Here is a 25544-nt window from a genome sequence, read left to right as displayed (position 1 = left end):
TTACGGGCTCTATGATGAGAGGCATCTTAGCTATTTTGTTCACTGATGTATCTTAAGCACCTAGAACAGTGCTTGCCACATAGTAGGAGCTCAATAGATGTCTGTCAAATGAATATCTTGTTGGGGGAAATAAAGCGAATGTATTGTGGGGGAAAAATAAGGTGATAGGAGAAAGTTTTTCTGCATATGTTGTAAAGCTAGACACAAACAAAGGGTGGCTATTGCTAGTTGTATTATCACGCATGTGTGCATGTGTGTGTGTGTAAGAAGCTGTTTGTTTGCTCAGGGTATGGGGGGAACATTCATCATTTTCCCTAACATCCTTCCCAGCAAATATCAACTTGTCAACCCCCTTCAGTGGTGGCTGGTGTGGAGAGCCTCCTTTAAACTTGCCAGCCCATCAACCCTATTATATTTGTTATAGCCTGCCCCAGCACCCCCGACTCTGTTTGTGTTTATGTTTGGCTAGTATCTGGCCCCCTTGACTCTACAAGCACCTTCAGTAGGCATCTGCACCCATACTGAGGTGGGCGGATGTTAGTAAAGGTTCCGCTTTTGAATCCAGCTTTCGAATTCTGCCTTCGAATACCAACTCTAAACTGAGTAACTTTGGACAAATGACTGAACCTCTCTGGGCCCCAGCTTAGTCACCTGCATAGCAGAGATGATAAGAATTCCTCTCTCATGGGCTTGCTGGGAAGGTGGCACAAGTGGAATGGACCTGCCTCATGAAATAGAAAGCACCAAGCACAGAAAGCAGATTGAGAGCCCTGTCTTAGAATAGGGCCTCATTCAGGATGTTGAGTCTTTCAAGTGAGAGCAAGTCAGTTTCCCTGAGGTTCTTCTGAGGGAGACAGGCACCAGGCTGCCTCCCGGGCTGTTACTGTTCACTGAGTGTTCCCTCGTGCCGGACACTGTGCTAGGCATGCCACGTGCATTGGCTCAGTTAATCTTCCCAGTAGTGCTGTGAGCTAAGTACCAATACAATCCACTTTATAAATGAGAAAACTGAGGCTTAGAGAGGGTGAAATGATTTGCAGAGCTACTCAAGGTGAAGCAGGGATGTTGCCCTGAGTCTGTCCTGATTCCAGAGCCTGCATTATTTCTCGTCCACACAGAGTTGTTCAGACAAGGAGCGGGGGGATCTCAGGGAAAGAGGAGGCGGAGGGGTGTGGACAAGCAGACTCCTACCACAGGAGCAGTGTCCTAGTAGGAATTCAGACAATTCCAGAAACCACAAAGCAATTTTCTAACCCTGGGGAAATGGCCTATGGTTTGGGTTGGCATGCTCGGTGTGGAGGCTGTGGGAGGGGAGCTGTCATGGTCCTCCTTCCCCTCAACCCAAGATACCCTGAATGGGACACAGAATTTTAGCAACAGTCATGTAGAGGAGCTCTTAGAGATCTCCTTGACCCCAGCTGCTCACTGGAATCCCCTGGGGGACTGGACAAATCCTCCCAAGCCTGGGGCCCATCTCCAGAAATTCTAATTTCATGGGTTTAGGGTAGGGCCTGGGCATCGGGATTTTTCCCAGCTCTCCAGTTAATTCTACCGCTCAGACTCAACTAGTCCTCCTTTGCTCCACACTCCATAGACACCATTTTAAAGTTGGAGAAACAGAGGTTCACAGAGAGGAAAGGACTCATCTGAGGACGTGCAGCCTAGAACTCAGGTTCCTAACTCTCTGTAGGGCTCAGCCATGTGGGAACACTTTCCCCAGGGTACCAATGAGGAAGGTAAGAGAGGGTCCCCAGAGCTATAAGGTGGTAGGAAAACAATAGTTCTGACTGGGAAGGGGCTAAAAGCATCCCAGTACTGAGCCAGGTACCCCACACCCTGACACACAGCCTTTGGGCCCTCCACCTCTCCTGCAGCTGGTGGGTGTGGGAAGAGCCCCTGGATAAAAAAAATCAGGAACGCTGTGTTCGAGTGCCGCCTCTGCCACTAACTCCTTTTGGACCATGGGTAAATCCCTCTTCTTCTCTGGGCCTCAGTGTTACTCATGTACAAAGTGGGATTAGACTCAGGTGTCCTTTAAACTAAGATCTTTTCTGGCTCTACATATTCTGATTCTAGAAAAGATAGCATTTAAGAGATCTGGATTATGATCCTAACTCTGCATTGAACATGTCTAAACCACAACTTCCTACTCTGTAATATGGAAATCATTGCTGTGTGACCTTGGCTGCATTCTTTGTTCTTTCTAGGTCTAGTTCCCCCTCCCATAAACTAAAATATGTGAGGATGGAGAGTTGAGGAGCTGAAGTTAACTGTACTCAGAAGCTTGGGAGTCTCTGATTCTCATTCTAACTGGCTACTCCAGCTCCACTGAGCCCCAGACCAGGGTCAGGTGGATGGGAGGCTTTGAGGCAAGCAGACCCTACCAAGGTGGAGGGAGATGTGCAGCCAGACTCTGTCTCTCCATTGCAAGCCACCATATGTGGGGGTATCTGGGGCTCCAGCCAGCTCCCTCCCTGCCTCAGAATTGCCTTCACAGCCCCCAGTGCTGTGGGGAGAAAGGAAGTTGTCAAGCCAGCAAGCCAGCCTGGGAGCAGGAGCAGAGAGGCTGCAGGGCCTATCCAGCTCAAAGCAGGGTAGGGCTGGGCTAGCTTGAAGGGTATGGAGGACCACGGCCTGGGGGGACAGAAACCATGAAGGATGTCTCTCTGTCCCCACTGGGTCTCATCAGCATTATAATAACAGCCACCTTTTCTCTAAGACCTTCTGTAAGACAGGTGATTTGTCCATGTGATAGTCCAATAGCCCTGGTAGCCAGAGTATGTATGTATGTATTTATTTATCTATTTATTTATTTATATAGAGATGGGGTTTCCCTATGTTGCTCAGGCCAGTCTCGAGCTTCTGGCCTCAAATGGGGGCCTCCCAAAGTGCTGGGATTACAGGCATGAGCCACTGCATCTGGCCTCCAGGGAGTCTTATGAATTCCATATTACACATATTGCAGACGATGCTGCTGAGGCTCCGAGACAAAAAGGACTTGCCCAAAGTCACATAGCCAGTGTGACAGAGTCTGGATTGGGACGTGGGTAGGTGACTCTTGAGCCTCTGTTCTTTCCACTCCACCCCAGGGCCTCTGGCAATAACAACAGCACTTACACAATGCATCCTATGTGCCACACACTGTTCTAGGTGACATATATATATATATATATATATACTTATTTAATCTGTGCAACAATATTATGAGGTAATTACTACAATGAGGGGCCCATGAGGAAACTGAAGTCCAGAGCATTCAAATAACTTGTTTCTAGACACTCAAGTTAATACATGGAATCAGCCCTCAGAGTTCATGTTCATCCCCACTTCAGTACACAACAGGTGTTATAAAGGTCTGGCTTTATAGAAGGAAGGCCAATCTATGTGCACACATCCCCTGTGTGCCCACACCCACACAGCTCAGTCTGGGTCCTTGCTCTCCCCAAGATGGCCATTCAGGGTTGTGTGGCCTTGGACAAATCCATCAATATATCCTCAGTTCTCTGAGCCTTGGTTTCCCTCTAGACAGCGGGGTGGTTGGACCAGGTGATCTTTAAGGAGCCCCCACAGCTCTGCCATATCATTAGCCCCAGTTTAGTTACCCCCATACTTCTGGCTGGGGGCCAGGGCCTTAGGGCACCTCTTCTCCCACCTCCACCTCCAGTGTCTTTCCTAGGAGTGAACTGATACAGGTTCAAGCCTGGGCTTTGCAGTAGCAGAATAAATTCAGTCCTGCCAGGCCTAGCCCAGGAAAGCTGTATCCCATGACAGAGGAGTGGGTAACTCAACCTATCAAAGTCCAGCCTCCCACTGATCTCCTAATCCTCAGCCCATGTCCTGGTCTGCTCCCCAGCCTCAGGGCCCACATTCCTGAGCCCTTTAATTCCAGCTGCCCAGCAGCCTATTCCCCAACTTTATCTTCAGCTTTGACTCATTGTCACACCTGGAGTCTGGGGCCGGCAGCTGTCCTGACCATCATGACTCTTCCCTGCTGCTAACAATTGTGGCAGTGACTAAAACATAAGATGTGCTCACATGAGGGACATTCTGATCACAGCATAAAGAACACACTCTTCAGCTGAAGAATGTCAAAATATCACCTGGAGACCAGCTTGTCCAAATCTTAGGTGTGCAGCTCTGAACACGTTCCTCAACCTCTCTAAGCTTCAGCTTCCTCATCTCTATAATGAAAAACATGATTACTGTCTCATTGAGCTGCTATAGTAGATGGCCATCTTGGAGCACATTGCCTGGTAATAGTAGGAGGTTAATAAATAAGACTTAGCTTTGATTCTTACATGCGTGATCTTAGTCAAGTCAATGAATCTCAATTTCTGAGCTCAGAGACAGGTATAAAAATACTTCCTCAATGAGATTTTTATAAAGAAACAATATGATAATGAATGTAAAATACCTAGCATGGTATCTGGCACACAGTTAAAGATAAAAAATGTGTTTCCTTCACCTAGCTCCATGCACAGAAGTGAAACTATTTACACCAAATATATCTAAGTGTATTAAACTATATGTGTTTATTAACATCAGTATTACAAAAATCTCTCTAGAGAAAAGAAAAAGAAGGAATACTTCTCAATTCTTTTTATAAGCCTAGCCAAATAACTAGACAAACCTTGATACCAAAACTGGACAATGGTATTATGAAAAAAGGAACATTTCGGACCAATCTGTCTTGTAAACATGAATGCAAAATCTAAAAACAAAATATTAGGAAATGGAATCAGAATATACATTGAAAGAATAATTCATCATGACCAAGTGAGGTATGTTCCAGGACTTTAAGAGTGGGAAATCAATGCAACAAAAGAGCTGGTTCTTTGAAAAGATCAATAAAATTGACAAATTTCTAGCAAGACTGACAAAGAAAAAAAGGGAGAAGACACAAATCACCAATATCAGGAATAAAACAGAGGATATTGATACAGATCCTGTGAATATCAAAAGCACAGTAAGGAAATACTATGAACAACTCTACACACATAAATTTTACAACTTAGATAAAATGTATCAGTTCTTTGAAAATTACAAACTACCATAACTCACTCAATATGAAAGAGATAATTTGGATAGTCATATGACTATCAAATAAATTGAATTTGTAATTTAAAAAACCTCCCTCAAAATAAATTTCTAGGCCCAAATGGTTTCACTGGACAATTCTACCAAAAGTTTAAAAATAATTCACTCTATATAATCTCTTCCAGAACACTGAAGAGGAGGGGAGACTTCTCAACTCATTTTATGAAGTCAGTTTTACCCTGTCACCAAAACTGGAAGAGACCATATACAAAAACAAAACAAAACAAAACAGAACAAAACAAAAAAAACAAAAAAAAAAAAACAAGAAACTACAGACCAATATCCCTCAGAAAAATAGAAAAATTATCCAAAAAAGCCAACAAATACAGTTCAGCAATATATAAAAAGAATCATACACCATGACCAAGTGGGGTTTATTCCAGGAAAGCAAGGCTGGTTCAATACTCAGAAATCAATGTAATCCATCATATTAACAGACTAAGAAAGAAAAATCACATTATCAATTGATGCAGAAAAAGCATTTAACAAAATTCAATACTCTTTCATAAGACAAACACTTGAAAAAGGAGGGAGTGTGAACTTCTTCAGCTTGTTAAAGACCATCTACAACATCCTACAACTGAGGTCATACTCAATAATGAAAGATTGAGTATGAAATACTTTTCACTTTATATTGGAAACAAAAAAAGGATGCCTGCTCTCATCACTCTTCTTTAAAATAATGCTGGAAGTTCTAGTCAATGTAATAAGGAAAGCAAAGCAAAGAACAAAGAAAGGAAAAAAGGGCATACAGATTGGAAAATAAATAAATTGGCTCTGATTTGCAGAAGGCATGAAAATCTCAAGGAATCCATAAAAAAAAAACCCTCCCAGAACTGACAAGCAAGTTCAGCAAGGTAACAGAATACAAGACAAACATACAGAAATAAACTGTATTCTATATACTAGCAATGAACATGTGCATATCAAAATTAAAAATGCAATACCATTTATAATCTCACCAAAAAAATAATTAGGTGTCAATCTAACAAAATGCAAAAGATTTGTCTGTTGAAAATCACAATATGCTGATGAAAGAAATCAAAGAGCTAAAAAAAAACGGAGAAACATACCCAGGAGTTCATGGATTGGAAGATTCAACATAGTAAAGATGTCAGTTCTCTCAAACTACTATGCAAGTTTAGTGTTGTTCTTATCAAAATTCCAACAAGCATTTTTGTAGACATAGACAAGATTATTCTAAAATTTATATGAAAAGGCAAAGGAACTAGAATAGCTAATACAATTTTGCAAAAGAAGAACACAGTGGGAGGAATCACACTACCTGATTTTAAGACTTATTACATAGCTACTGTCATTAAGACTGTGTGGCACTGGCAGAGAGAGAGAGAGAGAGAGACATAGATCAATGGACAGAATAGAGAACTCAGAAGCAGATCTACAAAAATATGCTCAACTGAATTTTATTTATTTATTATTTATTTATTTATTTATTTATTGAGACAGAGTCTTGCTCTGTCACCCAGGCTAGAGTGCAGTGGTGTGCTCTCAGCTCATTGCAACCTCCGTCTCCCAGGCTCAAGTGATCCTCCTGCCTCAGCCTCCCAAATAGCTGGGACTAAAGGCTTGTGCCATCATGCCTGGCTAATTTTTTTTTGTATTTTTGGTAGAGATGAAGTTCCACCATATTGCCCAGGCTGCTCTCAAACTCCTGAGCTCAAGTGATCCATCCACCTCGGCCTCCCAAAGTGCTGGGATTACAGGTGTGACCACCGCGCCCAGCCCCCAACTGATTTTTGACCAAGGTACAGAAGCATCTCAATGGAGGAAAGACAGCCTTTTCAACAAATTAGGCTGGAACAATTGGAAATTCATAAACAAAAGGACAAACCTCAACCTAGACTTCACACCTTACACAAAAATTAACTGAAAATGAGTCATAGATTTAAATATAAAACATAGAACTACAAATTATTTAGAAGAAAACATGGGAGAAAATCTTCAGGACCTAGGCATTAGTGAAGAAGTCTTAGACTTGATATCAAAAGCATGATTCATACAAGAAAAGATGGATAAATTAGACTTCATCAAATTAAATACTTACATTCTGCAATAAAATAGATGAAAAGTTAAACTATAGACTGGGAGAGAATATTTGCAAAACATGTATTTGACATAGGACTTGTATCTAGAATATATGAAGAACTCTTAAGACTCAACAGTAAAACAAAACAAACAATCCAGTGAGAAAATGGGCAAAAGACATGAAGAGACATTTCACCACAGAAGATCTACAGATGGCAAATAAGCACATGAAAAGTTAGTCAACATCATCAGTGCAAATTAAAACCACAATAAGTTATTGCTACATAGTTATCAATTGGCCTAAAAAAGTGACAATAAAAAATGCTAGTGAGAATGCAGAGACTGGGTCACTCGTACATTGCCGCTGGAGATGTAAAATGGTACAGTAATTCTACACAAGAGTTTGGTAGTTTCTTATAAAAATTAAGTGAGCAACTACCATATGACCTAGCAGTTGCACTCAGACATTTATACCAGAGAATTTAAAATTAATGTTTACACAAAAATTTGTACGTGAATGTTTATAGCAGCTTTCTTTGTAATAGCCCAAAACTGGAAACAGCCCAGATGTCTTTCAACGAGTGGCTGGCTAACTGGTACATCCATACCACAGAATACTACTCAGCAATAAAAAGGAACAAACATACATGCAACAGCTTGGATGAATCTTTAGAGAATTATGCTAAGTCAAAAAACTAATACCACATGGTTATGTAGTGTGTGACTCCATTATATAACATTCTTGAAATGACAAACTTTTGGAAATGAAAAGATTAGTGGTTGCCAGGGTTTAAAGAGGAGGTGGGAGCAGGAAGGAAGTGGGCATAGCTATAAAAGGCAATAGGAGGGATTCTTGTGATGGAACTGTTTTGGAACTTTATTATTTATTTATTTATTGAGACAGGATCTTGCCGTTTTGCCCAGGCTAGAGTGCAGTGGCATGATCACAGCTCACTGTGACCTCTTGAGCTCAAGCCATCCTCCCGCCTCAGGCTCCCAAGTAGCTGGGACTACAGGCATGCAGCACCACACCCAGCTATTTTTTTTTTTTTGAGAGTGAGTTTCGCTCTTTCGCCCAGGCTGGAGTGCAGTGGCGTGATCTCAGCTCACTGCAACCTCCACCTCCCAGGTTCAAGCCATTCTCCTGCCTCAGCCTCCCAAGTAGCTGGGATTACAGGCACTTGCCAACATGCCCAGCTAATTTTTGTATTTTTAGTAGAGACAAGGTTTCACCGTGTTTGCCAGGCTGGTCTCAAACTCCTGACCTCAGGTGATCTGCCTGCCTTGGCCTCCCAAAGTGCTTGGATTACAGGCAACCCAGCTATTTTTTTTTTCTAAATTTTTTGTAGATACAAGACCTTGCTATTTTGCCCAGGCTTGTCTTAAACTCCTAGACTCAAGCGATCCTCCTGCCTCAGTCTCCCAAAGTGCTAGGATTACAGGCATGAGCTCAGCCTGTTCTGCAACTTGACTGAATCAATGTCAACATCCTGGTTGTAATACCGTACTGTATTTTTGCAAGATATTAACATTGGGAGAAACTTGGCAAAGGATACAATATATCTCTGTATTATTTCTTACAACTGCATGTGAATCTACAATTATCACAAAAAAAGCATGATTTAAAATATTAGCTGGCCAGGCACAGTGGCTCACACCTATAACCCTAGCACTTTGGGAGGCCAAAGTGGGAGGATCATGTTACCCCAGGAGTTTGAGCTTACAGTGAGCTATGACTGCACCACTACACTCCAGCCTGGGTGACAGAGCTAGACCCTGTCTCAAAATAAAATAAAGTAAAATAAAATATTAACAAATGGAGTCCAGCAAAATATTAAAAGAATAATTCATTACGACTAGATGAGTTTTAATCCAGGAATTCAAGGGTGGTTTAACAATCAAAAACCAATCATTGTAATTCACCTAACAGTAAAAAGGAGAAAAATCATGATAAATGCGTAAAAAGCATTTTACAAAATTTAACACACATTCATGATAAAAGTCTCAACACATTAGGAACAGAAGGGAGCTTCCTCAACCTGGCAAAGGGCATCTATGAAAACCTTCAGCAAACAACATACTTCATTGTGAATTTTTTTTTTTTTGAGATGGAGTCTTGCTCTGTCACCCAGGCTGGAATGCAGTTGTATGATCTTGACTCCTGCAACTTCCTCCTCTTGGGTTCAAGTGATTCTCCTGCCTCAGCCTCCCGAGTAGCTGGGACTACAGGCATGCGCCACCACAGCTGGCTGATTTTTTTGTTTGTTTGTTTTTGTATTTTTAGTAGAGATGGGGTTTCACCATGTTGGCCAGGCTGGTCTTGACTGGTCTTGAACTCCTGATCTCAGGTGATCCACTTGCCTCAGCCCTCCAAAGTGCTGGGATTACAGGTTTGAGTCACCGTGCTGGGCCTTCATTGTGAAATAGTGAAGCTTCCACATAGTGAGACTGGGTACAAGACAAGATGCCCACTATCACCATTTCCATTCAACATTGTGCTGGAGGTTCTAATCAGTGCAATAAGGCAAGCAAAAGAAATAAAAGATTGGAAAGGATGAAGTAAAATTGCCATTATTTGCATTCGACATGATTGTGTACATAGAAAATCCGAAGACTCTATTGACAAAATAATAAAACTGATAAGTGAATTTAACCAGATCACTGGATAGAAAGTCAATATGCAAAGATTCATTATATTTCCATATAGCAGCAAAAAATAGAAAAATGAGGTTTTAAGAACCTTATCATTTGTAATAGCATAAATATGAAATAGGAATAAATCTAATGAAGAATGTGAAAAATCTTGACACCAATAACTATAAAACGTTATGGAGAGAAATAAAGGAGACATAAATAAATTAAGGGATAAACCATATCTGTGATTTAGAAAAAATTAATATTCCCAAGAAGTCAGTTCTCTCCAAATTAATCCATACAGTCAATGTGATTTCATGCAAAAATCCCAGCAAGTGCTTTTTTAAATTGAAAATGGTCAAATTGGTTCTAAAATTCAGATGGGAATGCAAAGGGCCAGGAATTTCCCAGGTAATATTAAAGGAGAAGAATATAGCTGGAGAACTCTTACTACCAGATATCAAGACATAGAAAGCTATAGTAGTTAAGACATTGTGGTACTGGCACAAGGATATAGAAACTGCCAAATGGAAAGAAGAGAAAATTCAAACACAAAGCCACACATATATGATTACTTAATTTATGACAAAAATGACACTGCAGTACATTGGAGGTTCTTTTTTAAAAAAAATAAATAAATAAATGGTGTTGGATCAGTTGGATAGCCATAGGGAAACAAAAATCTGTATCTTGACCCTGCCTCACACCATACACAGAAGTCAGTTCCAGATAGATTGCAAACATAAATGTGAAAGGCAACACAATAAAGCTTTTAGAAGAAAATATAGGAGAACAACTTTGTCCCCTTGGAGTATACAAATATTTCTCTAAAAATGCTATCCATGAAAAGGAAATTTGATAATTTGGACTATATTAAAATAAAAACATACTGGTCATCAAAAGGTTATGGTAGGAGAATGAAAAGACAACCCACGGAATGTGAGAAAATATTTGCAATAGATATATCTGACAAAGGAGTCATAATTCAGAATGTATTATGCAACCCAATAGAAAAATGTGCAAAGGACTTTGACAGGCACTTCACAAAAATAGAATATCAAGATAGACAATAAATATATGAAGAGGTGCTCCACTTAGTCAAAAAGAAAATGTAAATTAAAACTGTAATGAGATGTCATCATCAACACACTAGAATGAATAAAATGAAAGAAAATACAAATGCCCAAATATTGGTGAAGATGAGAGTCACCAAAACTCTCATGCACTGCTGGCAGGAGTGTAAATTGGTACAACCCTTTGGCAAACTATGAGGCAATATCTGTGAAAGTTGAATGTATGCTTACCCATGAACCAGCAATTCCATTTGGAAAGACACCCACACAGATGTTTATAACAGCTGTATATGTAACAGCCAAACCTTTGAAATTACTCCTAGGTCCCAGAATTATGGTGGCCTTGGCAGCTGTGTGGAGGCAGAACTAGGGGTGGTGAGACAGAAGACATGGTCACAAGAGGTGGTTGTGGAAGGAGCTGGGTGAGAAATGGTGGTCGAAAGGACTGGGGCCATGGCAGTAGGTGGGGGCGTTGGAGAGGCCTGGGGGCGGGAGAGGAAGGAGGTAGAGGCCACATGATTAGAAATAGACTGGATGTGGGAGGTGGGGGGAAGCCAGAGCCAGGGCCTGAGCTCCTAGGAGGATGGCTGCACCATTCGTTCAGGAAAAGAAGCAAGGAGGACGAGGAGGCATGGGTGGGAATGGAGAAGGAGTTTGGTTTGGTGTGCAGTAGGTCTGAGGTGCTGGTGAGACGAGAGGAGGAGGCCATGCAAGGATGGGTGACACTCTCTAGCCCCTACTCATCCACCCTTAAGTCACCAGAGAGTATCGGGTAGATGCCACAGAGAGAAGAGAGGTAAGCTGGAAGATAGAGGGCCTCTGGCCTTTGGCTTGATCCCAGGCTGCATGGAATGCAGATGGAACACCAAACATCAAGACCAGTGTGCTGCTCTTTAAGCCCTGTCCCCTGCCACTGCTGGGTGGGCGCCTCTACCTTTCCAGACCCCAGGTCTCTGTCGGTTCCTTGGGTTCTCTAGACTGGGTTTTTGGTACCAGCAAGGGTGGTCTCCTTCATCTCTGCCCTTTCCCATGAGCCCTCACTGCCCAAGGAGACACTCCACTGACCTCCCTTTCTCCTGCCATCTAGGCTGCACTGTGTGGTCCTGCTCCCTAGAGAATCTGATCCATTCCCTCCCTTTTATCCCCTGTAAGGAGTAAATAATCACAAGATCTTCTAGCTTAGATTTCAGCGGTCACGTAAGTTAGAGCCTTCAGTGTGCAGATGGGGAAACTGAGGCTCAGAGATGGGAAAGAACTACTTATTGAAGGTTACTCAGAGAGAGCTAGGGTAGAAGCTGAGCCAGAACTCAGGCCTCTTAAAGCCCAGGCTTGGATTTCTTTTTCTTCTTTGTAGAAAAAGAAATCGAGAAATAGAAAAAAAAAAAGGGAGACAGATGGCAAAACAGAAAAAGCTACTGCACAGGGAGTCAGTAAGAGACAGGAACAAACTGAGAGCGAGAGCGAGCGAGTGAGTGAGCGAGCGAGAGAGAGAGAGAGAGAGAGATGTGAGAGACAGAGGGGAGAGGGAGCAAGAGAGAGTTGGGGTAGGGAGTAGAGAAAGAAAGGAAAGAAAGAAAGAGAGAAAGAAGAAAGAAAGAAGGAAAGAAAGAGAGAGAAAAAAAGAGAAGAAAAAGAGAAAAAAGAAAGAGAGAGGAAAGTAAAGAAAGAGGTTAGTAAGGCAGTAGATCAGGCTGCCTTCCTGCTCCTGCAGGGGCTGGTGGGAGCTGAGCCCATAGCCCTGTAAAAGGCAGAGATGGGTGGCCTCAGAAATTCTTACCTGCCAAACCCCATCAGCCCTCAGAGGCCCAAACCAGAACTGAGCAGTTGATCTAAACAGAAAACAAACAGAGCAAAATGAAAACACGCTGGCTGCCCCCAGGCTGCGGCTCTGTGCATTCATTGGCCCCTGGGAGGCCACTGGGAAAGCAAGGCACAGCTTTTGTAACCCTCCTCTCTCGGCGGCACCCCCATCCCACAGCCACCCCCCACCAAGAGCCATAGACTCAGCTCTGTTCAAGATGCCATGGCAGGGAGGGGGCAGGGCTCTTGGGGCCTAGGAGGTGGGGCTGGTGAAGGCGGTGTGTTCCCTTGCCTTTGGCCTGGCAGAGAGACAGCAAGGCCGGTGGGGGGCTGATAGAGAGGGGAAGCGGTGGGGTGATAGAGTTCTGCCCCCTCCCTCACGCAGGGCTGGGGATTCCTAACCAGTCCTAAGCTTGTCTAGGGTGTAGTGAGGGTGAGCAGGCAAAAAGAGGGCACATTGAACACCTACCATGAGTACAGTGTATCACTCTTGGTCTCCATCGGGCTTTGGAGCTAGAAATGATGAAGAAAGTTTCAGTTTACATCTTACTTATTGTTAATAACAATGACACAAGTGATAACTAGTAAGGGTCTTGTGCTTTGCAGATACAAACTACCCACAGGCAAACTCACTGAATCCTCAAAACCCTACTGTGCAGTACTGTGATTAGCTCTATTTCACAGAAGGGGAGACTGAGGCTCAGGGAGGTGAATCAGCTTGGCACACAGCTGGGAAGGGGTTGAGCTTGGAGAGCTGAGAGCAAGTCAGTGGACTCTGGGTTGAGATGTAATGACCAGAGCCAGTGTTCAACGTGGGAAAGTACCTCTCTAAACCCAGGGACATTGCCCAGCCCTAGAAACTTCTCATGTTATCCCAGGGAGTAGCAGAGGCAAGCAGTGTGTACAGGGGAAGCCAGGAAAGGGGACTCAGAAGAAGTGACCTGGGGAGGTGGCAGGGTGTTCTGGGTGGGACCACTCCAAGATCCAGGGAGGTGCTCAGTGGCTGGAACTCCCTCAAGGATTGAAGTTGAGGAGGCTCAGACAAAAACATGTCATCAACAAATATTTATTATTGAGCACTTATGGTGGTAGAGGTCAAAACACAGGCTCTGGAGCCACACTGCCTGGGTTCAAATCCCAGTTTCACTACTCACTGTGTGACCTCGGTATAGTTCTTTAACTTCTCTGTCCCAGTTTCCTGATCTGTATGTTGGGGATAATGATAGTAACTACCTCAAATAGTTTGTGATCACATTTTTTTATTCTAAGTAATGCAGCTGCAAGAGCGCCTGGCACATGGTAAGCCTCAAATATTAGCTCCTGATGTCCTTGTCATTATTGTGGTCATTTGCCTGGCCTGCCCTGAGCACTAGGATAGTATTGGCGAGCCAAAGCAGCTGTGGTTCCTGTCCTCATGGAGCTCTGAGTCTGGCAGGGAAGGTAGCCATTCATCACAAAGTAACACAACAAAAGAAAAACCGCAACAGTGAGAAGTGCCATGGAGGAGAGGTCCATGGTGCCATGAGAGTACAAAATGAAAAAATGTGTCCCAGCCAGGAACATATGTGGACGTTTCCTTGAGGAAGATACACTTGAGCTGTGTTCTAAAGTCGAAGTAGGAGTCAAATAACAGAAAAAGAGGAGGAAGATCAACTCGGGAAGAGGGCACAGCATGTGCAAAGGCCCAGAGGCAGGAGGGAGCTTGGGAGTTTAGTACAAGATGTGGTTGGAGAGGTACGCAGGGGCTAGATCAAGGCAGACCCTGTAATTTGTGGTCAGGAGTCTTGTCTTTTTCTTAAGAACAAAGGGAAGCCAGTGGAGGATTTTAAGGATGGAGTAACATGATCAGAAAAAGACAGGGCCAAATCCTAGGTTGAGACAGGTCTCTGGCTGTGAGGTGGAGAGAAAGGCCACATAGAGCAGGATGGGTAGAGGCTGGGTTGCAGTCTTGGCCCTGCCGTTGGCTCCCTTGATGCACGGCCTTGAGCAAGTCCCTTTTCATCTCTGGGCTTCAGTTTTCATCATATACCAAATGGTCTCTGAAACCTACTTCAGGGGCCATCTTGTCCTTCTTTGTCTACTGTAGGTCTCTATCCCCCATTAAGAGGGGAAGAGGGCAGAGAAGAGATTCTGAATGCAGCACAGCCCCCTCTCCTGTCTTCTTCTTCCCTACACCTCCACAATGTGTTCCCGACCCCATGTTCAGGCTCTGTGGGAAGGCTCTCTCCTCCTCCTCTTCATCCACCCATGCTTGGAGCATCCCTGTCAGCCTCAGGACATTATGGGATGGGTCCACCCAAGCCCGGGACTGAGGGAGGCTCAGGGACCCCCATAGTGGTTGCTGGTAACGCTGGAAAGCCCAGAACCACAGGCAGCTGGGAGAAGCTGCCCCCGCCAGGATGATGGAGTGGGTGTGACATAAATTTCTCAGGACAGGCAGCAAAAAACATTTACAGCCCCTCCTTGCTGAGTCTGGTTCCAATCAGGCCCCTGGCCGGCCCGCTCCCTACACCCGCCACACTGGGCTGGCTCCTCCAAAAGCCAGAGTCATTTAAGGCTTTTGTCTTTTCTCCTCCTCTCCCTACTGTTTCAAGAAACATTCACAAAGACATACATACATATAGGGCCCCTGCTCTTGTGGGGCCTCTGTGTACCCCCATGAGTGTACACATACACACTTATCCATACACACATGTGGCCCCCCCCGGGGTTTGGTATACCCACACACATATACAGACTAACAGATACACACACATACACACACACACACACACATGCACGCACACACACACCACATTCAGACTGGAGACTGGCCTTGGGTGGGCTGAGGAAGGCCATAACCTCAATTGCCAGCCATAAGCCACAGAGAGCAACATCCCCTCAGGTTAGGCACCGAAGGACCCAGGAAATGCCTTCCTGCAGGAACAGTTCCCGGGTCGCTCCTCTCCTGCTCCTCCTCCCAGCAATCCCTGGCTGCCATGGCAATGGCCTGCCAGGTCTGCCTTGGGAAAGCCCAGGAATGCCTTTTCTGAGGTGGAGTTAGGCTCTGGCCAGGCGGGGAGCGGGCCCTGAGGGAAGCAGAGGCTAACTGAGGGTGCCTTAGAGGGTAAACTGGACAGGCACAGGAGCCCCATCTCCCTCTCAGCCCAGGGCCCCAGAGGCCTTGGGCAAGCCCTACTCCAGCTCTGTGTCGCCCTCTTCCCCAGGCTTCTCTGGTACTCCACCCTGTTCCTACCCTCAGCTCAGACCACCAAATGCCTCACCCTGCCACCCAAGAAGTATCTGTTTCTCTTGATCCGAGCTGAACAAACTTCCTTTCACGGGCCTCTCTTGCCTACCTGAATGCTGAAGCCATTTGGTTCCTCCCGGAGAAGCCAGAAGGGGCTCTCTTGTTTACTCAGAACGCATGGGTCCAGTCATTTCACACCAGATCCCTGAAGTCAGGCCCGGCTTCTTTCCACAGCAATGGTCTCACACACGTGGGAAGGCTGGCGTCGGCAGAGAGGGAGAAGTTACTCCATGCACAATTTGGTGAGGATTTGGGGGCTAAGGGAATCCATTAACCTTTTTGCTTCTTTTTCCCCTAGAACAATCTGAATGGTGGTCCTGAAAGAACCTTAAAAAAGAAGCCGCTTTATGTGGGAGGGTATCATCTTCACCCCTTGCCTGGAGGCAGGATGATGCCATGTTATGAATGTGTGTTTAGGGAAGCCAGACCTGGGTTCAAATTCCTCATCATTCTTTACCAGCTGTGTGAACTTGGGCAATTAAGTTGAACATATTGATGGGTTTCTTCTCAAGATCTAACATGCCCAGAACATGGTCCATACTAAATACTCAAGAAATGCTCAATCTAGTTGCTTCACACTAACTCTGCCCCGCTGAAATGGACAGGCCTAGGGAGGGGGCAGCAGGAGGAAGGGAACTGATGTTCATTACATTCATTACTTTATTTAACACTCCTTGCTCCTGGTTGAGGTATTTACTATTAGGATCTCTGAGTTGAAACCTGCTCTCTCTAGCTCCTGAGCTCACACCAGGACATCATCCCATGCTGGAGGGATGGTGGGGGTGGGGGTAGGTCTTTTAACCCTGGTTTTGAGAGTGCTGCAGGCTAGTGCAAGAGGTGTTGTCAAGACCCCACCTCCAGCTGCCCCCTTCCTTGGGGGAAGTTGAGCAGACCAGCTGGCTGCCAGAGCCCGGCCACAAGCTGCCTCCAGAGTGACTTGGTGGACAACTTTATGAGGCAGAAAATCCAGCATCCACCTCTGGGAGCAGCAGCAGCAAAGTAGCTGACTTGGCTTTGAGTCATGCTCTTGCCCAGATAACCCAGAGCCCAGAGCACACCTGGCCCCAGGCATTTTTCAGCTTCCTTAGGCAGGGAAGCCTCTGAGAAGCCTCCAGGGAGGCAGATTTCAGCTGAGCATAAGCAAAGTCAGAGGTCTGCAAGGGTGGAACCAGTTACCTGGCAAGGAGTGAGTTCTCTATCACCACAGGTGTGTGAGCAGAGGCTGCCTAACACCCAGAAAGCTGGCTAGACAAGGGGTTAAAGCCTTCACCTAGGACAGGGGTTTCTGGCCTGGAAGTGGCCCAAAAAGAGACCCATGAAATTAAAGGCCTTCCTGAAATCATGTGCAACACTTTGTTTGCTGTGTACTTTTATAGGAAATGGGCTCGTTGCTTTCACAAAGTTGTTGAAGAGCACGCACTCCCCAGTGTACTTACACAGATAAGGAAATGGAGCCTTGGAGAGGGAAAAGTACTGACTCAGAATCTCTCAGCTTCCTAACCAGCTCACGATTCCACCCTGTTTTCTACTATACAAACTGCATTCCCATCCTGTGTAGGTGTCTCTTGATTCTCATGACAGCCTAGTGAAATGGATCACTGTTCTTGTCATTTTCCAGAGAAGGATTCTGGGGCCCAGAGAAGGGAAGGGCCTTGCTTGGGTCACACAGACAGTTAGAGGACAAGCCAGGACAAGATCCCAGGCATCCTATCAATTATTTTTCCCAAACTCCATTTTGTTCTTGCCTTCCAGAGGGCCAAGAAGCAAAGCTGCCTACAGTGGGATCTGCTGCTCCTCCTCCAGCCTGCAAGAGAACTCATAGCACCCTCTTGCCCGCTTCTTGCTCCCCATATTCTGGGGACCAGCCTCCACATCCCACCCCGCAGGCCTTGCTAAACATTCCTGGAATCTGGATTTGGAACAGTGGCCAGGGCATGGCATGAAGAGGGCACGAGAAGGCACAGAGCTGCAGTTACTCCTCCCCTCCAGAGAGCTTCCATTTTTACTTGAACCAGCTTGCAGCCAGGTGTGATCCCAGGAAAGCTGGGTGGCTGATGCTTGCACCCACACAGAAGTGCTTGTGACCTGTGTAAGCAGTGGTCAAGCCAGGAAAAGATGGGGCAGTGGCCTCTGCAGAGTAAAGAGGGCCCAGGGCCAAGGTAAGGAGGTCAGCCCCTTTCTAGACAATGCCACCTCTCTGTTACAGTTGAAAACAACAAATCTCTGTAGAATCTTCGGGGACAGGGGCCTGAAGATAAATGTCCCCCTCCACATCCCCCTTGGTGATGTCCCTGAGATGGGGCTGGTAGGCAAAGCCAGCCCACTGCCAGCCTCTGCTATTCCAGGGATGGACAGTAGAGGTGAGCGTCCAGCTAGCAAAGTAGGCTTTCCCTGCAAGGGACAAAGGCCAGTAGGTGGGGAGGTGGGGCATTAGCCATGAGGCATATCAAGCAGGAGAGGGGCAGGCCCTGAGCGGTGGGCTGTGGCCAGACAGGATAGGCCAAGAGAAGATCACAAAGACCCCAAGACCTGCAGTGCCACATAAAAACTGGCTGCTCAGTAGAGCTGTCTCCAGCTGGGCCAAGGAGGCCCTGTAAGCCACAGTACCCTTCAATTTTTCTTAACAAAGCTTATCCCTGTGCATTTTTGTTCTGATTATAAAAGTCAAACATACTCATAGTGGAGAATCTGGAGAATGACAATTACAAAGAAGAAAATTACCAACTGTGTGATGTTGAGCAAGTCACTTCACCTCTCTCCACTTCTGTCTCCTCATCTGCAAAATGGGGATAATATGGTATTTCTCCTGTAGGATAGATATAAGGAGTAAGTGTATATAAATATATGTAAAGTGCTGAGAAAAGCGCTATACAAGTGTTAGCTTTTATTATTATAATCCACTATAATCCCACCACCTAGAGTCAGACACTGTTAACAATTGGTTAATTTCCTTCTAGTCTTTTTATATGAACGTTTACTGTTAGTAAAAACAAAAAATCAGGATCATGCTGTATCTATGATTTGGTATTCTTCATATTTTAGCTTAACGTTATAGCATGAGCAAATTTTTCCTCCATAATATCCTTATAAATTGTAGATAATTGTATGTATTTAATTTTCTTATGGTGGACATTTAGCTTATTACTGTTTTTATGAATTGCTTTTACATATATTTTAATCCAAATTTGCAGATATTTCTTTAGTGTCAGTTCCTGTAAGGGTAATTATCGAGTCACAATGTATACCTGTTTTTAAGGGTCTTGATATTTCCAAATTGCCTGCCAAAAAGGCTATACCAATTTACACTTCCACCAGCAGTACATGAGATTGCCCATCTCACCGCAACCTTGGCCACTATTTTAAATTTTTGCTAAATTGATGCACAAAATGTATATCCTTTGTATTCCAACTGGTTGGAGTCAGGAATGGGACAGAATACCATGACAAGGACTGTTAAGTGGGTTCAGCCCTGTTGGTTAGAGTGGCCCAGATATACTTCCTACCTGGAAAAGGAGTAAGAATGAAAGATATGGTTGTGTGGTCACTCTAAGAAACCAAGAAAAAAAGCCCTAGTGCTAGGGGAATGAGGCCCAAGAAGATGTGATTGTCAATCCTTAGAGTTGGCCAGAAGGCCTCCCCCAAAATATGTGTGGAGTCCCCCTGCATGGCAAGACAGGAATAATTGTAATGTAAATTGGGCTTTGGAAATGCAAATGTAAATTCAGAGCTGGATGCATTGACATGGCTTCTGAACACTGGAGGCCTGGGTATGTGACTCAGGGGTCCCTGGCTAAAAAGCAATCCTAGGAGCTTTCAGAGAAACAGAAGATGGGGCAGTCATATTGTACAGAGAGCAGCTGCGGAGCTGTAGAAGTCAGGGTGGCCACTGGGAAAGAATCGTGGAGCCGGAAGGCTGGGAGGAGATACTGCTCAGGCATAGGCGGCTCCTGGGGTAGCGCAGGGCACTACGCAGGCCTCCCAGAACTGTGCAGGTACAAGCCGAGGGCTGGAGCTGAGGGCTAGACTTGATGTGTAAACTCTCAGCCAAGGCAAGTCAAAGGCGCAGGAATCAGTGAGCGGAATTCCATGAAGATGCAGATTCATGTTATCACCAGACCACAACTCTGATTATTGAGCAGTGACTGTTTGCCATGCTCCTAAGATAGGAGGTCAATGGATAATACCTACTCTACATGTGGGAACTGGGGCACAGAATGCCCAAATAACATGTCCAAAGTTACAGACAGTCACTGGGAGAGCCAGAAGCTGAGTCCAGGGCTCTTTTTACTCAGGCCCCTTTAGGCAATGAGTTCGGCAATTGATTTCCTTGGGTAGAGTTGGTGCAAGTTCTCCTCACTCTTGGCTTGAGTAGAGGAGTTTTCTTTGCCGGCCAGAGCCCCTGAAAGGATGTTATTTAAAGTACAGTAAAAAGTTGTTTGTATAGAAGCCCAGATGCAATAAAGCTAGAAAGAATGGGTTTAGATAGCAGCAGGAAGGACTTATGATAGACTCCAGGAAGAACCTCAAAGTACTTTATTGTATCTTTAGATACAATAGATAACCAGGAAGGCCAGGGTGCCTGTCTCTGCTATTTTCAGCAGTTGTCCTTTCCCACACCTTTTCCTTTCCCTTTCCCAACATCTCATTGCCCCATAGTCCCTCATTGTATGTGTTCATCAGAGGTGGTCTTGCCCACTACTAGCACACTCTGAGATCCTAGGACACTTGTGGCAATAGAACAGCTAGGATCCAGCTCAAGTCAGGAGTGGCCTGAAATTTTGTCACCCACACCCCTCACCAATCTCTGCCTGTGGGGCTCTCCATTTGACCCAGTGGCCTTCCCCACCAGCCAGAGTGTTGATCAGGGCAGCATCACAGAGAGTTAGGGGTGAAGACAGCAGAGTGGTGCAATGGAACAAGAATGGACTTGTGTTACACAGACTGCATCCCTGCTGTGCTACTACAGCTAGTTTGACCCTGAGCAGATGCATTCGCCTTCCTGGCCCTCACTTTATGACTGTAAAATGGAGGATGATAGTAACTATCCCATTGGGTTGCTGTGAGGTTGCAAATGAGATTGTATATTTAGTTCATAAATGTGGCCAGAGCGCCTATGTTCTGCCAAGCCCAGTGCTAGGTAACTGGGGGAAGGGGGGCCACAGAAATGAACAGGAGGGCCAGTCCCTGTTCTCAAAGAGCTTTCAGTTATACTCACTTCCTCTTTCCCCTTCTGTGGGCAGATACTGAAAGCAACCTCTTCCCAGGCCAAGAATCTGGGTTTCCAGAAGCTCTTCCTCTCTCTTAGGGCAAGAAGGATGGGAAAGGGTCTTCCATCCTGCACTTGACCCTTTGCTGGACTCTTCTTTATTTACACATCAACAGATGATTGACAGGCCCCAAACCCAGTGCCTGAGTACTAGTCCTCCTTATTCATACCCACTGTTTCAGATTAACCCAACATCTCTTGTCCTCATGCCTAGAAAGCTCTCTATGGACACAGATAACGCCTCTTTATAGATGAGGAGACAGAGGCTCAGTCTTGTGAGGGAGGTGGCTCAAGGTCCCAAGACAGGTACGTGATGGAGGAAGGGTTAAAATCCAGATCCCGATGGACTGCAAAGGCCTTTCTCCTTCCTCTACACCACATGGTTGGGAGAGAGCTGGGACGTTGGGATTGTTCCTGAGGCTCTAGGCAACAACGGGGACAGCCAAGTCCAGGCCAGTCCAGGTGCTCACCCCAGGTGTTTCCTCACAAGCTTTTCCTCAGACGTCTTGTCTCTTCCCTTTGCGGAGTAAGGCTCAGAGGAAATGCCTCACCACTCTCCAGGCATGTGCTGGAGGCTGAGGACTGCTGTCTCATAGGGGTAGGAGGAGGGCTGGTAATCTCAGCACAGAGGAAAGCCCCTCCTAGAGCCAGTCTGGCCCTCTCGGCACCCTCTCAGACATTCTCTGGAGCTCTTGCCAAACCTCCCCTGGGTTTTTCCAGAGGTCCAGGGAAATTCCAGGAGTCAAGGACGTCAATGTTTCTGACATACACAGTCACAGCATCCCACAAATGTACCTGGCTGATCACACTCAGCTACAGTCTCTCTTTTGAATATGGGTGTGTAAGCAGGCCTGTGCATGTACACACACATACACACATGCTATAAATGATGAGTCAATTCCACAAGCCTCCTGCAGAAGCCCATATCTTCTCATCCTGTTTACATTTCAGCGAGTCCCACCTCACGTTGCCCTGAGTGTGTGTACAGGTCACAGCAATGCTGAGAGCAGCGTGGGCCAAGCGCAAGACTGGAGCTTCCACCCCTCCTCCACTGGTTTCATGCTCATTTTCTTTCCTTTTCCTGTTCCTCCTCCCAGACAGAGTTGCCTCCCTCTTCCAAAAGGCCACCCATGCTTAGCCACCCCTCACCTCGACACACACATATCATCGTCCCAGGTCTCACTGTCACAAAGAATAAAGCTGAGAGCTGAGTCTGCTGGGGTGTGGGTGGCGTCAGGCCCAGAGAGGTCACATGCAGCTGCCCCAGCTGGCAGGAACGTTCTAGAGAAATGGGTGGAAGGAAGCATTTTAGGAGCAGCAGGCCAGGCCAGAGAGCCCTGTTGGGTACTACGGGCCCAGGCAAGAGGTCTACTTCAAGAAGATTCCATTAGGGAAGTAAGACAAGAGGCAGTGCAACATAGCGACTGAAAGCAGACTGGAGCCAGACTGCTATGTGACATGTGATAGTTACTTAATCTGTCTGTGCCTCATTTTCCCCATCTGTAAAACTGAGATAATAATAGCAACCTACCTCACAGGGTGGTTTTGAGGTCAAGTAAATGAATACATGCAAAATGCTTACACAGGGCCTGGCACAGAAAAGCACTACATAGAAGTGGGGTTATCTTTTTTTTTTTTTTTTTTAATGAGATGGCGTTTCACTGTGTTGCCCAGGCTAGAGTGAAGTGGTGCAAACACAGCTCACTGCAGCCTCCACCTTCTTAGCTCAAGCTATCTTCCCACATAGCTGGGACCACAGGCATATGCCACCACATCTGGCTAATTTTTTTATTTTTTTGTAGAGACAGTGTCTTGCTATGTTGCTTAGGCTGGTCTTGAACTCCTGGGCTTAAATGGTTCACCTGCCTTGGCCTCCCAAAGCTCTGGGAATACAGGTGTGAGCCACTGAACCCGACTGGCTATCATTTTAAGGATCAAAATTATCAGTATTTCTCCATGACCCCCAGTCACTTACACAAACACACACACACACACACACACACACACACACACACACACAAAACCACTCGTATTCTCCTTCCTCTGCAGGTGTCAAATCAGCCTACAGATCTCCAAGCCAGTGCAGGCAGAGGCCGTATGACACAAGCAACCTCAGTCACCACTCATCCTCCATCTACTGGCCAGTCCCCCTCCAATAAATAAATTTCTGATTCTGACCCCCAGCCCAGGCCAAGGCTCACATTGGCTCATGAGAACTGCATGTGCATATCTCTTTACAAAGCTGTATCCAGTGATGTCATATTCATAGCTTGAATTCAGCCACTGTGGGAGTATTTATACCATGGCAATTGGCAACACTACAAATCAGAGATTTTTTTCCCCTCCCCGTGAGCAAGCTGTTAAATATTTACCAGCACAACATTACTTGTACCAACCTTTCATTTCTCCGCATTCCACCCTGGGGCCCTTCTCTACATGACACTTGCTCTTCTTCCAGACGCTAAATCCAACTGTAGCTGACTCCCTGCAGCAGCATTGCCCCATCTGATTAATATCCTGTGACTACTTCCTCTTGGAACCTCAAGGCCCACTGTTGACTGTGCCCCTGCCCTTTGGCACCAAACTTTGTCCACCAGGGAGCCCCCTTCACCGCTAGTCAGACCTACTCCCCAGCCCCCATCCTAAGCAAGTATGGGAGTCTCATGCCAGGCCCCTGCCCCATCCTTTCCTCTGCCTGCACAGTGTTGCCCTAAATTGCCAGTAGGCTGGTATCCAAGTCCTGAGCAAGCCATGATGAGGCATCTGCTGTACCTCTGAAAAGCAGAGTATAAGATTTTGCACGTTGGATGGTTTGCTCCATGAAGGAGCAAGAGACCTGGAGGGGAAGCATGACCCAGGGTGGTGGTTATCTTTTCTTGTGGGCTGAGTGGGCCAGTTTATTTATTCATTAGAATAAAAGCTGCATGAAGGCAGGATTTGACATCTATTTGTTTTTTTTGCTGTGTTCCCAGTGCTTAGATCAGCACTGGGCCCTTACTAAGTATTCAATAAATATAAGTTGAATGAATAAATGAATTAATCTGCTTATTCAACAAATGTTTCCCCTAAGCTTTTATTTGTACCAGGACATTTTAGATCCTGGTGATACAGAAAAGAGCAACATATGGTCCCTGCCTTCAAGAAGCTTCTGGTCCCATGGGCCACAGATGTGGCCGTTAGCGAAACCCGGGAGTCCCTCCAGGACGGCTTGTGAGCACTGGTGCAGATGGGAGCAGGGGCAGGGGCTCCCAGCTTCCAGACCAAGATGGGGTGCTGTGTGGGCCAGAGAAATCACAGTGTTTGTCTGCACGTGCTCAGTGGATTGTGCTAGCTGCTGGCTGTTGGCTGAGGTGGCCGCCCAAGGTCTCTTGGCCAGAACACAGCTCCAACTCCTTCACTCTGGCCCCGCCCACCCAAAGGAGCAGAGCTGTTGGCCAAGAGAGAGGAGTCAGGCAGGGAATCCCAGCCCCTCCCTGCCCCTGACTGGGCCCGGAAGGGCCTGGCATGCTTCTAATATCAAGCAGCAAATTCAATCAGGCAGATGAGAATTCCTATTATTTTAATATATTTAGAAGAGAGTTTAAGGTGGATTTTGTTCCATGCTGTATATTTTTACAACATGAGGTCAGGCCACTTTGATAAATGCTGTAATGCAGGCAGGAGGGGCCTTGGGAAAGGGTGAGTGAGAGAAAGAGTTGAAAGAGGGAGAGGGAAAGAAAGAGAGACAGAGACAGACAAAGGCAGAGACACAGAGACAAAGTCATAGAGACAGAGAGGCAGAGGCAGAGAGAGAGAGGCAGACATAAAGACTGTATGTGCATCTCTGGATCCATTTTTGCACATATGTCTATGACTCCATGTGTGTTTCTGTGTCTGTTTGTTGTTCAAGTCGACAAATCCATTTGGGGATAAATAGGATGATTTTTCCACCTGCAGGAAGCAAGGCAGCCAAAGGCTGATTGGGGCTGCTCCGCTCTGCTGCTCTCAGAAGGCCTTGGGCTGGGACTCGCATTGCTCCCTAGGCCAGGCTCCAGGCTCTGCTTAGAAACTGAGATGCAGGCAGGCGGCCAGAAAGGCAGAGGCAGTCAATCCTTAGCAGGAGAGAGGCACTGGGCCCCCGGGTGCCCCCTGCCCTGCTGGCTCTGCCACGTGACTCCATTCTCACCTTCCCCGGAGGATCCCCATTCCGCTCTTAGAAGCCGGCATACATGGCTCCCAGCATCCAAAACAAATACCACTGGAGCACAGGGACTCACGGTGCCTTCTTTGAGACCAGAATGCATAAGCATGGCAGGAAAGGGTTGACTAACCAGGTTGAAAGAAAAATTTTCTAGTCTGG

The 25544-nt window shown here is 45.8% G+C and overlaps 2 long non-coding RNA genes across 4 annotated transcripts in view, besides 3 other annotated features; one reads left to right on the top strand and one right to left on the bottom strand.

The window, feature by feature from the left end:
- Positions 1-18624, top strand: part of LOC105373242 (uncharacterized) — a 53390-nt gene extending 34766 nt beyond the window's left edge. The window contains exon 6 of the long non-coding RNA XR_001755876.1: positions 17692-18624. This is a non-coding gene — a long non-coding RNA (uncharacterized LOC105373242). The remainder of the gene's footprint in view (positions 1-17691) is intronic.
- LOC102723911 (uncharacterized) lies at positions 8990-18740 on the bottom strand. Of its 3 annotated transcripts, none has more exons than XR_430523.4 (5): positions 18661-18740; positions 15989-16138; positions 13120-13163; positions 12628-12679; positions 8990-9650 (listed from the first exon to the last, which is right to left on the bottom strand). It is a non-coding gene; the product is annotated as an uncharacterized LOC102723911 (long non-coding RNA). The 3 variants fall into 3 exon arrangements; XR_938425.3 differs by having other exon boundaries at positions 8990-9591; XR_938426.3 differs by lacking the exon at positions 8990-9650 and adding an exon at positions 10871-11216.
- Positions 12815-13316: an enhancer, noted in NCBI's record as "H3K4me1 hESC enhancer chrX:68256271-68256772 (GRCh37/hg19 assembly coordinates)". NCBI's record gives its function as "activates a minimal SCP1, AML or CMV promoter by ChIP-STARR-seq in naive H9 embryonic stem cells {active_cell/tissue: H9 hESC(naive)}" and the evidence as "EXISTENCE:reporter gene assay evidence [ECO:0000049][PMID:30033119]".
- Positions 15401-16209: an enhancer, noted in NCBI's record as "H3K4me1 hESC enhancer chrX:68253378-68254186 (GRCh37/hg19 assembly coordinates)". NCBI's record gives its function as "activates a minimal SCP1, AML or CMV promoter by ChIP-STARR-seq in naive H9 embryonic stem cells {active_cell/tissue: H9 hESC(naive)}" and the evidence as "EXISTENCE:reporter gene assay evidence [ECO:0000049][PMID:30033119]".
- Positions 21215-21404: an enhancer, noted in NCBI's record as "active region_29727". NCBI's record gives its function as "activates an Ori minimal core promoter by ATAC-STARR-seq in GM12878 lymphoblastoid cells {active_cell/tissue: GM12878}" and the evidence as "EXISTENCE:reporter gene assay evidence [ECO:0000049][PMID:35858748]".

Source organism: Homo sapiens, chromosome X, assembly GCF_000001405.40.
Source record: "Homo sapiens chromosome X, GRCh38.p14 Primary Assembly".
Lineage (NCBI taxonomy): Eukaryota > Metazoa > Chordata > Mammalia > Primates > Hominidae > Homo > Homo sapiens.
Note: the sequence above shows the minus strand (reverse complement) of the source record. Positions and strands in the feature narration are given on the sequence as shown.